A 14146-nucleotide genomic window follows, 5' to 3' on the forward strand; every position below is an offset into this window, starting at 1 on the left:
GGATCTATAGATTTTCCCCCCAGTATTACTTCAGGCAATTCAATATTCTCTGCTGCCCCTCTCCAAGCCCCCACCAATGCGATCCTCTCTAGTCTTCATTGATAGGTCAGCTCTGGCCTCAGAGCAGCTTTATTAAATTAGTAGCACTTAATCTACTGTCATATTGTCAACTGACACAGGGCAAACTAGCAGGCGGCAAGCCTTCCAGTGGCTCAGGAGAGCAAGTTGCCACAACCCAGGCAGTTTTGACTAGCTTTGTGCCAAGAGCTGCCTTCATGGGTGTCTCTTCACTGAACAGGAGTATTTCCATCATTTGATAGCATTTAAAACAACTTTTTTTTTTTCCTAAGGAGAAGGGGGAGCTATTCGAGGGAGAATTCTTGCCGATTACAGACTTATTATGACAGATGAAAAGATCATAATTATACTTGGATTCCCTGCAGGAGTGCCTTAACACATCTGTGACATCTAATAACCACATGCCTCAATGGGAGGCTGACTTTTCCAAAGTTGCTTAACCTTTCATTTCTTTGCTGTCACCGAAAACCCATCTATGGGTGCTCAGAGAAATCAAGGAGGGAGACACCATCAAGGCTAGGTGGCTGGCATCCCTGATGCTTTGGGAGAGACACTCAGTCAGTGATACCTGAGCCTGGGTAGCTCCCTACTGGGGGCCTGAGGGGTACAGGCAGCCTGTCCAGAGGCCTGAGGCCAGGGCATCGCTCTAGAGTCCAGGTAGCTTAGGTGTCTGCGTTAGAGTCCAGGGAAAACTGGAGAGGTGGGTAGGACAACCTGGGGAGATTTGAGCAGATCTGGTTCTGCAGATGAACAGACAATACTAAATCGAAGGGGAGATTTCAGCAAAAGTTATAGTCTTGGTTAGTCTAATTTTTAACTTGGATTGGTTTAAGAGGTGGGGGTGATATTAAACACTGCTGAGTTGAAAGCAGTTTTTATATAATTTCAACTTTTATCTTAGATACAGGGTGAACATGTGCAGCTTTGTGAGATGGGTGTATTGTGTGACACAGAGGTTTGGGGTACGAATGGTCCCATCACCCAGGTGGTGAGCACAGCACCCAATAGGCAGCCTTTCAGTCCTCGCACCCCTCCTCCTCTCCCCAGTGTTTACTGTTCCCATCTTTATGCCAGTGTGTGCCCAACGTTTAGTTCCCAAAACGCACCTTCTCTACGCTTCATCCCATAGTCCCCAGGCAGGACGACAGGAGGAGGAAATGTTGCTGATTATGACATCTTTCCATCTGCCAGTTTTATTTCTAGATTATAACAAGGACAATTTGTGGAAAGTTGCTGCCAAGAGACTATAAACTGAAAGACAAGCATTCAGTGTGAAAAAATATGAAGTCATCATCCTGGTGGCTGCTGTCCACAAATTTGAAAGGGTTGGGAAGAAAATTTATTTTTGAAAAGCTCAGGTGCAAAGACACCTAAGTTCTTCCTTTAGTCTTCTTTTCCTCAAAAGAGCAGGGGCAAAGGCTTTGGGAAAAGGACTTCTGGAAAGTCACAGAAAAGGCATCCCTGATAGCTGTGGGAAGGAAGATGGAGGGCAGTGTCTGCTGTGCTCCATTGGGAGCGGCCAGGACCTCTGCAGCTCTGACCCAGCTTTGCCATCTGAGCAAAAGATGAGCTTGGTCTTCCTGAGAAATCTATTAAATAATACAGTGGTTGAGCTTGGCTCTGAGTTCACCAACAAGTGTGCTTAAATAAGGTGAATTACACTGTGAGCTGAAGGGCTGCTCGGTGTATTTTGTAAAGATCTACTGGAGCGTGTGGAGGTTTCTTGAAATCAGAAAGGTAAGAAGAGATCAGTGACTGATAAATCTTTAATATAAAAATTGTACAAGAATTTTGATACAAATTACAAGAGGTATTTGGACAAAATATGAATAAAATTCCATTTACATCCCCAAACCCTTATGCATTTTATGCAAAAGACATACTGTAGGCAGTTATAGTACAGAAAATACAACCAAAGTAACAGCAAATTAAAAAATTTAATTACCTTAGCCTACCAATAAAAACAAAAAGCAAAACAGAACAAAACAAAAATAAAACCCTTGTTCAAGGTACATACAGTATTTAGGAAGCTACCAACGTCACAATGATTAGATCAGGGTGATGCACACTGTCCCATCCCTTGGTGCAGTTACCTTTTGAAGTACAGACTTTGATTCTGCGGCAGGCTTATTGCAAGAGACTGGTTTTATGCAGATGAGAACAATATAAACAAAAAAAAGGAATAAACAGCTAAACTCTGGGAGAGGGAGAGGACATATCTTAGTGAAAATTCCTTTTCTTCAAGATATTTCAACTCCCTCTGGCCACTTTTGCTGTCAAATATGGAGGCTGAGTCCAATAATTTTGTTACTGGAGACACACCAATGGGTCTGGAGTAAGAAAGGTGTGTGTTCTCCCAGCTGTGTGAGGGATCTTGCTAGTTCTAAAAGGCCTAGTCCATCACCAGCAGGAGAGAACAGAGAACTGGCTTTCCCAGATCCCCAACCAGCCCCTTCCCCTCACCTTTGGGGAGGCAGAAAAGCAGCAAGGACTTCATGGAAGAAGCCAGGCAAGGTGTGAGGGGAGAGGGGAAATGGGCATTTGCCTCACTTGGAAACCACCCACTGGTGTGTCAGTCATCCTCATACTGCTGAGTGAGCTACACATGAAAAGCCCAGGTCGTCTCAAGCCCAAGTCTTCTCCCCATTTCTCGACCGTCCTCACCCCTCTGACCTTCATGTACCCAGGTTTAGCTCTCCTGCATTCTTTATACTGGCACTGGCAGGAAAATGGTGAGATTCTCTGCAGGGCAGCTGAACCAAAGTTTGCACAGGAAAGCAAATGCACCATATACTAGAAATCTTAGATAGTCTTATCAGGTTAAGATATAATACTAGAACATCTCATTCACTTAATTCACGTTATGCAAACCCTGGACAGGGTAGAACACGTTTCCAAAGCAATTAAAACCAAGATGAGGGAGGGCGTGTTCTACCTTCTTGCTCAAACATGATTTATTTTTTAAGGGGGGTTGGTGAGATCCGAAGAGCAAAGGGTGGGATTGAGAAAGACAATGGAAAAGTCAGAGGAGATTAAGATACACAATGAGAGGAATGGATTACTCTGTACAAAAACATGCAAAAATACTCCAAATTGGGGACTAGATTTAAAAAAAGAAACAGCCTTGGTGTATACATCTCAAGTGAACCTATTAACTCAGCACATTGTCTGGGAGCTCAAGAGCATCATACCTCATGAATCATGCTTCTCGCAGTGGCCACAGCACCGATTCACAGATGGGGTAGAGGATGCTTTGTCTCCTAGCATGGAAAAGGCAGGCAGTGAGGCTCCCACTGAAACAGTGCCAGGTCAGTTCACCTTGCAGGGACTGGCGCTTTCTCCCTCTCTTTTGAAAAACATATCCAGGGCCAGATGAATGGAGCTCTCTCACACACCCAGGGTCTCCCCAGAGTCACCTCTCAATCCTTGCATTCCATGACAGAAGTGGGCAGAGCCAGTTAATAATTGATGGATTTGCCATCTTAGCTGTGCATTATCTCAACATCACATTTGGCAACAGGAAGCCCTATAAAATCTTGGTATAGCACTTAGATACTCTCTCTTCAAGAAATATACTTTCAATACTATCTACTTCTCTCCATTTTTCTTAAAATACTTCTTTCTGCTCTTCCTTCCCTTCAAAGATTCTTTTTTAAAAAAGTGAAACAAAGCATTAAAAAAACTATTACAAACGTCCTTAAGCATCCCTGGTATTTTAGAGTTAAGGGGAGAAAGCTAGTATCAGCGAGCAGAACTTGTGCAATTTTGGCAACTGGTTTTTCAATTAGGATTCTATTAAGATGTCTGATAAACGATTGTAACATATACATACTGAGGAACTTAAGAAGTATCATGTCAACTAATTGCCTTTGCTCGAACCCAAGAGTCCTTGCTCAAAGTGCTTTTCTTCCCAGTCCCCACACTGGTTCATGAAATTATTTAGCACAGATTTGTCAACATAGACCTGTTACATTGTCTATCCCTAAATCTGCTGCTGTTCTCTCCTTGCTAAAGTTCATATGGAAGATGATACCGATACCTGCACGTGTCTTACCTGGCTGACTAATATCTTACTGAAATGTGACTGTTTGTAATGGGGCCAACTATCTTCTCTGAGATGCGCTGCGGGAAGGTTGGAAGGAAGCATGGCATCCCCTAGTCCCAGAAAGAAGACGCTTGATAGATCTTGCACTTCATTTAGTCACTAACTAGTCACTTTCCAACCATCATTTGAGTATTTCAATATACAAAAATAGCAGCCAATCTTTGGGCTCAGGGCATTTTGGAATATAACATTTTCATGTATTCTTCCTTTGTACCTTTGGTCCCCATCACTCGATTTTCTAAAGCTCCCTGTACTTGTACTTACCAAAGTTCTTCAAAGTGGAGAATTTACCTTTTACTCATAGGGTGGTCCTTGTTTTAACGATTAAAGTCAAAAGCCTGACGCCATCTTTTTTAGATTGTCAGTCCAGTTTGACAAAAGTTAATCTATCATGTTACACTATGGATTTGGAGGGGTCATTGAAAGATGCATTTGTACACCTACGTCCATGGTTTGATGCCAAGGATAAGAAAAAAAAATGACCACTGTGCGTAACCAGTTTACAACATGTGCACTTTTTGAAGGGGAAGAAAAATATTTTAATCTTTTCCCTACAGATTAGGGGGCAATATAATCTTACTTATGCCACTGACTTGCAGGAAAATTTGCTCTAATTATAGGGCCACACCCATTACTCTCAAGATGGAATTGTTAACACTTAAGTTTTCAAAGAAGCAAAGGATGCCGTCACAGACAGCATCTCTCTACTGACCCTTTATTTAAGAAGTCATCTTGTTACTGTCCACTTAATAGCTGGAGAGGGCATCGAGAGGCAGCCTTGGGCTTCCCACAGATACAGTAGGTGTGTGTATGTGCTTGTATGTTAGGAGGGGAGAATAAGAGGGAAGGAGAGAGAGAGGGGAGAGAGAGAGAGAGAGAGAGAGAGAGAGAGAGAGAGAGAGAGAGACTGACTGATTGTGGATGTGTGTGTACATCAGGGAACTCGATGGGAAAGCCTAGCCCTTGTAGTCAATTTCTCCTTCACAAGGGGATAAACAGGCAATTACGCATCCTTTTATATTTGATGGCCAAGTGCTGAACTGGAAAGCACACTATTAGTTTGTGTCCCTTCAGGGCCAGGGCAATAAGTAGCCAGGAGAGCTGGGCTGAAGCAGAGAGGGTGTTGTCTGCTGTTAGTGTGACAGTCTTGTCAGCAGCGTTCACATTACTGGAAGGTAATAAAGTGACAAGTATGTTATTAGAAAGATACGAGGTGAAATTGAACTGAAGCTTCTTGCTGCTCAGCCCTGGCTTTTTTCTTTCCTCTTTTGTAATGGTCCACTATTTGTTACAGACTGAGCCTTGGTCTTCATATCCTATATAAAAAAGATTTTTTTTTTTCCTGCAGTAAAGGTCAAATGAATTTACAACAGCACTTTAGAGGAGAAGAATAAAGATAGTTTTATGACAACTATAGTATGTTGCTCCAAAAATATATATAGCATTATAATGAACAATAATGCTGATCCAATTCAGTGTACATGTAAAAATGCTTAGTTTTTTTTTTTTTTTTAACCTCCTGTTATTTGGATTTGGATTAAAATCATTTGGATTAAAAAAGATTTGGATTAATCTTTTGGATTAAAAGCATTTGGATTTTTCAACAAATGCCAAAAAGACAGTATGCCGAATAACATAGTTATTGCCGAATGAGCACAGAAAATCATTTTGCGCAAGATGTGGGAAGGATGAGGATGATGAAACTACACAAGGAAGGACGGGTATGTGGGCAACAGTGATGACAGATAACTCACTGGTCAGTTGTACAGCTGGAATTACACAATACTTTTTGAAAATGACCATTTATGGTGAGCAACACTCCAGCTACAGGAAATATGCGACTCGTCTGGGACAGATCAAACATGACCTTAGTACTAACGCAAACAAGACTACCACGTGTGGTTTATCTCTGAGGGAAAATGTGAAGAGAAGTTACTTACATACCTCATAGAACAGTAAATGAGCTCCCATTTTGATCAAGGTCTTTAGCCTAGTATTAATTACAATCATGGCTTTGTTGTGTTGCTACAGTGGCAAGCATGAGTAATGATCAAGAAAGGAACGATCCATGCTGGTGCCATTCGCACCTACTCCTCTGTTAGGATGAAAACGAGGTGTTACCACTGGCCTTTTCTATAGCCTTGCTGACCCCTGGCATCTTTCGGTTCTCAGGGGATTCCAGCAACACTTCCCACTCAAAAACAAAGCAAAAGCAACCAAAACCCCACAATTGTCGGCTCTTCCTGACCCCAAAGGAACTTCAGCTATTTCATGCAGCTGTACTTGCTTTCCTAACCCCTTCCTCAGAGCCGACTCACCTGGTCATAGGAACTCTGCAGGTCCCTACGATCAATACGCTCTCACCCACTGCGAGGCAGAGCTATGCCAGTCTTTTCTCTCGAGCCAACATTTCCAGTGCATTCATGATTTCCTTTTCTAGCTACCCCAAAACCAGGGCAGGAACCGACCCTCTACTTAGTTCTGATGAAAACACTGTGATCCCTCCAGTCTTTCTGGTATCTTTTATTGCTCATCTTACTCATTTAGATCCATCCCCAAAAAATAAACAATGAGAGGGAAAAGCAAAACCACCTAATTTAAATACTTCAAGTTTGGGAGAAGATAAGTGATTTTAAAGAATGAAATTCGTTTGTCATAATTTTAAAAAAGAAGCTCTTAAGAAAAGGGTGTGACCACAGGATGAAAAAAAGTTTCTTCTGGATGATTTGTTTCTTGATGATAGCAGATGTAGCGTGTCTTATGACAGGTGAATTTTATTTACTCTGTTAGTCAATCTAACCCAATGCTAACAGACCAGATACAAGTTAGGACTGCTCAGGTCAAGCTGTCAGCAGTTAGCAGCATGTCCATCTCAATCTGGTGACTAGCTTCTTTATGCTTTAATTGTCAACGGCCCTCATTCTCATTTGCTTGGCACATATCTGGGGTGTGTACAGAGAAAGGGGAAAAAAAGGTCACATTGTATTTGGTGGGAACCTAGTGCATAGTTTCTCCTGAGGAGAAGCCTCTGGAATAGCCCATTCTTGATATATTCAAAGTTTTTTTTTTTTTTTTTTCCTTAGAGCAATGTATAATAATGGGGCTGTTAACCAGTTAAGTGCCTTTCTCCTCTTACTGGAAGGGCCTGAAAATTCATGACCAAAGAAATAACACTATGAGGACAGTGGCACCATTGTGCCAAAAAGGTTTTAAAAAATGTTTGCCATGTTGAAAAGGAAAACATTAACACCTTTAAACCTTTAAAAGGCATCAGGCTGAACAGGGCAGCTGGACTAAGATCTGGAATGAGTTACATTGGGTTGACTTATTTAAATACAATTAATATCAGAACAAAGAATGCCAAGGATTTTTATCACACTTTTAAACCAAATTCCTCATTATCTATCCTTTTTTTCTCTCTTTCCATAGCATGCAGATATTCCCGAAAGCGGACTAAACCTGATATTTACAAAAACATAGTTTTAAATGATCAAGACAGTACAAGTTTCAACATCAGCTAGAGAACATGCACAGTCATACCGCCTAATTTTGTACCTGTGATAAACTCTGGCTAAAACCAATCACATGGGGAAAAGCTTGTCGGATGAACATCTACATCACTATTAATTTTCAGCCAGCATAGAATGCATGTGGCTTGAGAGAAACTGTTTAACAACAAAAAACTCCTATGAAAAAGCAAATGAGTAGGAATGGGCAAAGATGAGCTCCATGACTAAAACGCTGATCTCTTTATCCTTCCTGTTTGCAAATAAGCCATGGGATCACCATCTTAACTAGAATTCTAGTTAAGTCAAAACAAGACACTCAGGCACACACTCAAGAACGAGCAATACTTTGGAAACAGAAGAATTGTACATTTTATGATTTTCCATTGCATGTACTACATCCATCCACTCCCCTGTCCCTTTTAAGCAAATAGGCTTTATATTGGAAAATGTTATTTACTCATTTAGAAGGCCACCGTAACGACTGGGCACTTGAGGCACAAAAGTAGTAGCAAATAGGGGAGATACTTAAAAAGTGTCAGCTGTCCAGGACTTATTGCCACTTCTCTGACAAAACACAGGTGAACACATTCATGTTTCCAAGCAAGGGAAACTCTACTTCTAGAATCTCATTACTTCTGGACTTTTTCTAACTGGCTATACACATTAGCTTGGTTTGCAGCAAGTAACAAACATTTGTTCTAAGCCTGGTGCATTTGCTGATGTGACTGCCGACAGCTATGTAATTCACTCACGAGGGCTATCTGACCTTTTATTTGACATTAAATTAAACAGACTAAACATTGCTGTTGTACAAGATGAGTTCTAGTAACTCAACTGAGTGTAACTTTTCAAAGTTGCTGAAATAAAAATGTGTATTTATTTTCATAAAACTACATGTAGTCTATGCACACTGCAAAAGCCAGAGTTTCTATAATGTTTTGTTGGGATATTAAAAATCTTTTCCCACCCTTTTTGAATCTAACCATTTGGTAATGGGGCAACAGCACAACACAGAGAACGCTGAGAGGACCAAAATGTTTGCAAACAAACTTTCATTATTCTAGTTCAATCTTTCACAAACATACTGTACAGAGTCTTATATGGTATAAAACAAAGGAAAACATCTGTCTGTTCAATTTAACACAACACCAAAATAAAGCAATTAAGACTTTGGGGAATTCAAAGTACAAGAAAACAAAAACGATTATTACTAATTCCTCAGCTTTTTACCATAAACACTTGTCATTTAACATAGTGTTTGATATAGTTTCTTTTGTACTGCAAATACTTTTGGTCTTTCCTCCCCGTAGAACAAATGAAGAATTAAAATGGACCCCATAGCATCCTCTGAAGGAGGTGAAAAGATAAAGCTCCTAGACATAGCTAGCTTATCTTTAAGAATCTATTGTTTCTGAAATTTTCACAACAAAAATACTGAATCCCCAACTAATGATGCTTATTTTGGGAAACAATAAATACTGTGAGGTACAATAAATCCTACAGGAATAATAACAACAGAAACATATTAACAGTTTCCTTTGGCAAATTTAACGGAAGTGAATGCTGATGTGAACATAGAAAAAATAATTACAAAAACATGAAAAATGGAAACGACATAAAAGTTAAAATAAAGGGATATTTCTAACTTTTAGACTGATGAAAGAAATGTCTGAGGCCATTAAATGCAAAAAAGAAATACATTCTCTTTAAATTATTGTGTACTGTTTGACAAAATATTCCTTGTTTATCTCTTCTTTTCCCCTCCACTTAAAAAAAAAGGAAAAAAGAAAAAAAAAAGACAACAAAACAGTCTGCAATGCACACCCTAATGGTTTTGGCTGCAGACTGAACTTGAGTAAATATCATCATTTAGTCAGTATGTTGTGGTAGCTGAGGCTGCCGATGTGGTTAACCAGCTCAGGCAACATGTGTAAACATCGGAAACAAAACAAAACAAAAAAGGTTTGGAGAATAGTCTCTCTCCTCTTTCTCACTCTCAATTGCTTGGTTTCAGGCTTGCTTTCATTTCTCTCTGACAAATCGTGTGGGGAAACACAAAACACTGAACATTGAGAGATCCTGCTTTAAAACCCCCTTCTTCTGGCTTTTCAGAAAGGAGTGTTGCTCCATTCAAGTTTAGCACATGTTTTCAAAGCTTCCAAGTACTGCTGCTGTTAAATGCCTTTTGATTTTGTCTACCAAACAGGCCTGAATTATAGTACGACTGCAGAATTTGCAACAAATTAGACAGCCATACAACAGACCGACCCAGTTCAGAGGATTTCTTTTTAAAGGATAAGGGTTAGGGCCTTGGAAATGAGTGTTCGACTCTTTTACTGTATTCATCTTTGTTCCGTAGCGGGTAATTTGGGCTTTTGTATCCTGAAATATTATCCTGCCTCTGAAGAATAAATGCCTTGGCTGTTTCACACCACATAATTTTGTTTTCCTTTTATGTAACTTAACGTATAAGCAAGAAGGATGCAATGTTGATTCTAATAACATTCGGCACTTGAAAGAATCACCAAGTGTTTTTTTAAAAAGCGGTTTTCTGGTGGCCAACAAATTGGCCTGTGGTTATGTTGAGTGACTAATTGTATTTTCTTTTCTGGAAACTTGTGCAAAGTTGGCAGTTTTGTGTTAACACTAATACTTTGTTTGGCATTTGTGCCCTATACTGACCAGACCATTTTTATACAAGTGAATTTTTTTTAAAAAAGACACTTACTGAAGTATGGCAATAGTTTAAGGATAAAAAAGAAGCATGGTTATTACACATCCCCTTGTAGTGTATGAAAAAAAGTGCATGACGGGATTTATGTACTAGTACAGGACATTTTAAAAAATCAGATCTGTGCTGTAAAGCATGCCAGCACCTCTTTAGCACTATATCTAACAGGTAGTAAAAACAAGACCATGTTTTTTTCTTTTTTTAAAAATGTGCATTAATGCTAACATAAATGAATAGAGCTAGCCAGCAAACTATCTTTTCCTGCATATCTAACAGCTGGATGTAACTGTAAAAATTAAACAAAAAAGTTAAACAACCATCAATACAATTGTTTTACATCAATGGCCCCTCAAGGCTAAATATTTACAGGTGAATCTGCCATGCTTTAATTGAAGATTCTTTCAAAACCTTAAAGTTCACAAAAGACAACTATAAGAAGTTCCTTTTTGTTTCTTTTTTCTTTTTTTTCCCTTTTATTTTTGCAGGCAACAGTCATGGGTACAACAAATTGTCTCTTTGGGGAAGACCAAGAATTATTCTGTCAAAACTGGGGCTAGTTGCACACTGTGTGTGTGTGTGTGTGTGTGTGTGTATGTGCATGTGTGTGTGTGTGTGTTTAAAGGGGTACTCTGTTTTCACCCTGAAATCAAAGATCCCACTCCTTTCCCAAAACTATAAAGGGAAGTGAAAAAAATTCAAAAGCACCTAGTGTTTATCTTGTTTATCTCAAGGAAATACGTGTGTGTATATGTAGCCACAGAGCATACATAAATGCACACACACACACACACACACACACACCCCAAGTACATAAGCGCACACTGACTATGGCAGTTCAAACACGTAGGCCATCTGGTGAGAGCTGGCATTTGTAGTGTCCATTCTGAGACTAATCTACTGAAGTGAAGGGAATGTTTTTGTGGAGATTAGGGTTCTGACTGTGCCGATTTCGGCTTCGTACAGAGGAAAACATCATATTGCAACCTGGGACTTTGCACTTGTGCATTTCTCTCAAATGCACAGTTTTGTAGTGCACTCTCAGGGTCCCCTTGTTGCTGTACATTTTGTGGCAAATGTTGCACATGATCCCACCATTGCTCCCAGACAAGCTGCTGAACATAAGAGATCCTGAAACTTCAGCCCCTAGGCTGCCAGGGAGGGCAGGGGCCTCGGCCTTGTGTGCCGACTCCCCACTGTCACTCGCCCCGTCAATGTCATCGAGAAGAATCCCCTCATCGCTGCCTGCGTCGGATTCTCTGGAGGAATGGATACTGCTGCTGGACTGGAGGCTGGAGGTGGTGCTCAAGTCAAGGACCATGTAGTCCTCTGCCATGCCTCTCCCATACCCGTTCAGGTGGGAGTCTTCAGTCCCTGCGGGAGAGGAGGCGTCTTCCCTGACATCGAGCCCCATGGGGTGCTGGGCACCATATATCTTCACCAAAAATTCATCGCGGAGGTCCTTGCTAAGGGAGGGCTGCGACGAGTCCAGGCCCATGTCATCGAGTTCTTTGGTCAACAGTTTACGATGTAGGTTTATGTTGGCACTGTGTCTAGGAAAACAAGAGGGAAGGGGGGGTACGTGGATGGGGGGTGGGGAAAGGTGAGAAAAAGGAAAGCATTTTAAAATTGATTCAGCTTTCACTAGGTATCAAATAAGCACATTCACTTCTAATTACACCATTATAAAAGCAAGCATTCCCCTATATCCTCAGGATCTGGGAGTTAGTGGTGGTGGTGAGAGGTGCAATCAGGGGAACTTTCCATTAACATTATTTTTATAAGAGAGTTGACTCTGTCAATGGTAGGATGAATGCAAACCCGTGCACCTTTTTCTCAATGATTACTCTGTTAGTTTTACTATGTAGCAGCATCAGCTGCAGAGAATTTCATGGCAGAGATTTTAGAATATATATTAAATAGGATAAAAGAATAGAAACTTTCTGCTTGTCTAAATGGAATAGTCTAAATTTACCTAAAAACAAGAAAAAGTAAACATCTTTTCTATACAGCACACACTTTATTTTGAGGTATAGAAAAAATTCATTTTTTAAAAAAGTAGCCTAGATAATTTAGATATAACTTCAAAAAATAATGAAATCTTCCGTCTCTACCCTCCACATTTCAAGTTTTAAGGAAAAACAATAGCTTAACAGATTAAGCAATTTGAAATAGGGTTACAGACTGTCTTTTAACAACACGAATGCCTTTTCTCAGAATGATTTGGGAATCCCAGTTAAATCTAATAATAAAATACATTTACTTTTTAGAAGTATGTGCATTTTAGTGTCCAAAATATTTTCATCGAGTAGTTCTACTTTAAAATTTAATTCTTTAAGACAAAAACGGAAAAACAGAAACTTTTTAAAAAAATAAAACCCACCCACCTTTTTAAAAAAAATCACACTGAACAACAGAAAGAAAACTCAGAGGTACAAAAATTAAAACACAGTAAGTACAAAAAAATCAAGCACAACAATAACATAGGGTTCCTTTACTTTAACAACTGGAACCCATACTTCTTCGACAAGCAAAACTTTTATTCTACTCACTCAGTGCTTTGCTTGTATGTATGTATGTATATACATACACATATACATATTTTTTTACATATATATATATAAAGACAGGATTTGTCCCAGAGAATCCATAGGGACATCATGATTTACAAAGCCTGATATGTTATCATCTATCTGGAAACATTGTCTTTGTATTTATATCCCCCATTATTTTTAAAGTGCCCTTGGGCACATACCTCTCTCCACCTGCAAAGGCTCACATGTTCAACAGTACCTAAATTGAAGGTTACCCTTCCAAAAAATAAACTGACATATCTACAGATACATAAAAGCTTCTCAATACTGGTGGAAGCTCTACAGCTTGGAGAAGTAATTGTGATAAAAGAAATGACCTAAATGGCTGATATAAAGTTCAACAGACCTCCCGATTATACTTAAAAGTATGGAAGACCAAAATGTGTCATTCCATTTGGTGACAAACGTGGGTGATATTTCCTAGAGATGGTTGAGAGGTATGTGCCTCAGAGACAAGAAAGGTGGGGAAGACTTCTCCACCTTTCCACACAAGACAATATACAGCACTCTGGGTTTTAAGGGGCAGAGGGCAGCAGCCCTCTCCAACTGCACTTAGGAAGGCTGAGCTTACCTTGTGACAATAAGATCAGCTTTCTAATCTTTTGCTAAATCGATCACAAAAGAAAGCAAGAATAAGAGACAGAGAGAGAGAAAGAAAGAGAAAGAGAGAGAGAGAAAACAAATTCACATTCTAGACATCTGGTTTTGAAAAACTTAAACAATAAAATAGGGATTTAAAACGTTCTGATCACAAAATTATTTTCTGTCATAAGCGATCATCCCATACGCTGTCTTGATGATTTTCAGATCAGCTGTATAATCCAAAAATCATAAATCGAATTAACACAAACCAAATTCACAGCATCATCATCCACAAATGAGTTCTAAACAGATGCATGCAGTGTGTGGGTATGTGAATGATAAACAGAAGTTGTCCCCACGGTCCCTGCTCTGACACAGTAATTCCCCGTTTCCTTGGTGTCAGATGGCAGATGACTCCAAGTGCAGGTTGCTAAGCAAAGTGCAGGAAATGCCTACTGTGAGGTCTTTACTCTGACATGTGGGTACAACACCACCAGTTATTACAAGAATGTGGAAGTAGAGTTACGCTATGCGCTATTATTCTATTGAT

At 39.8% G+C, this 14146-nt stretch overlaps 1 protein-coding gene and 1 long non-coding RNA gene across 41 annotated transcripts in view; one reads left to right on the plus strand and one right to left on the minus strand.

The window, feature by feature from the left end:
- The window catches only part of LOC124902125 (uncharacterized), a 26637-nt gene extending 18937 nt beyond the window's left edge, over window positions 1–7700 (plus strand). The window contains exon 3 of the long non-coding RNA XR_007061425.1: window positions 7613–7700. This is a non-coding gene — a long non-coding RNA (uncharacterized LOC124902125). The remainder of the gene's footprint in view (window positions 1–7612) is intronic.
- The window catches only part of BNC2 (basonuclin zinc finger protein 2), a 461168-nt gene continuing 448848 nt past the window's right edge, over window positions 1827–14146 (minus strand). For 25 of the 40 annotated variants that reach the window (XM_047423506.1, XM_047423501.1, XM_047423494.1 and 22 more), the window contains one exon: window positions 1827–11973. In XM_047423506.1, coding sequence (XP_047279462.1) covers window positions 11313–11973 — 661 coding nt within the window. In that variant the 3' untranslated portion in view covers window positions 1827–11312. The remainder of the gene's footprint in view (window positions 11974–14146) is intronic. The other 15 variants (XM_047423508.1, XM_047423495.1, XM_047423491.1 and 12 more) reach the window with 2 other exon arrangements.

This window comes from Homo sapiens, chromosome 9, assembly GCF_000001405.40.
Source record: "Homo sapiens chromosome 9, GRCh38.p14 Primary Assembly".
In the NCBI taxonomy this organism is placed as follows: Eukaryota; Metazoa; Chordata; class Mammalia; order Primates; family Hominidae; genus Homo; species Homo sapiens.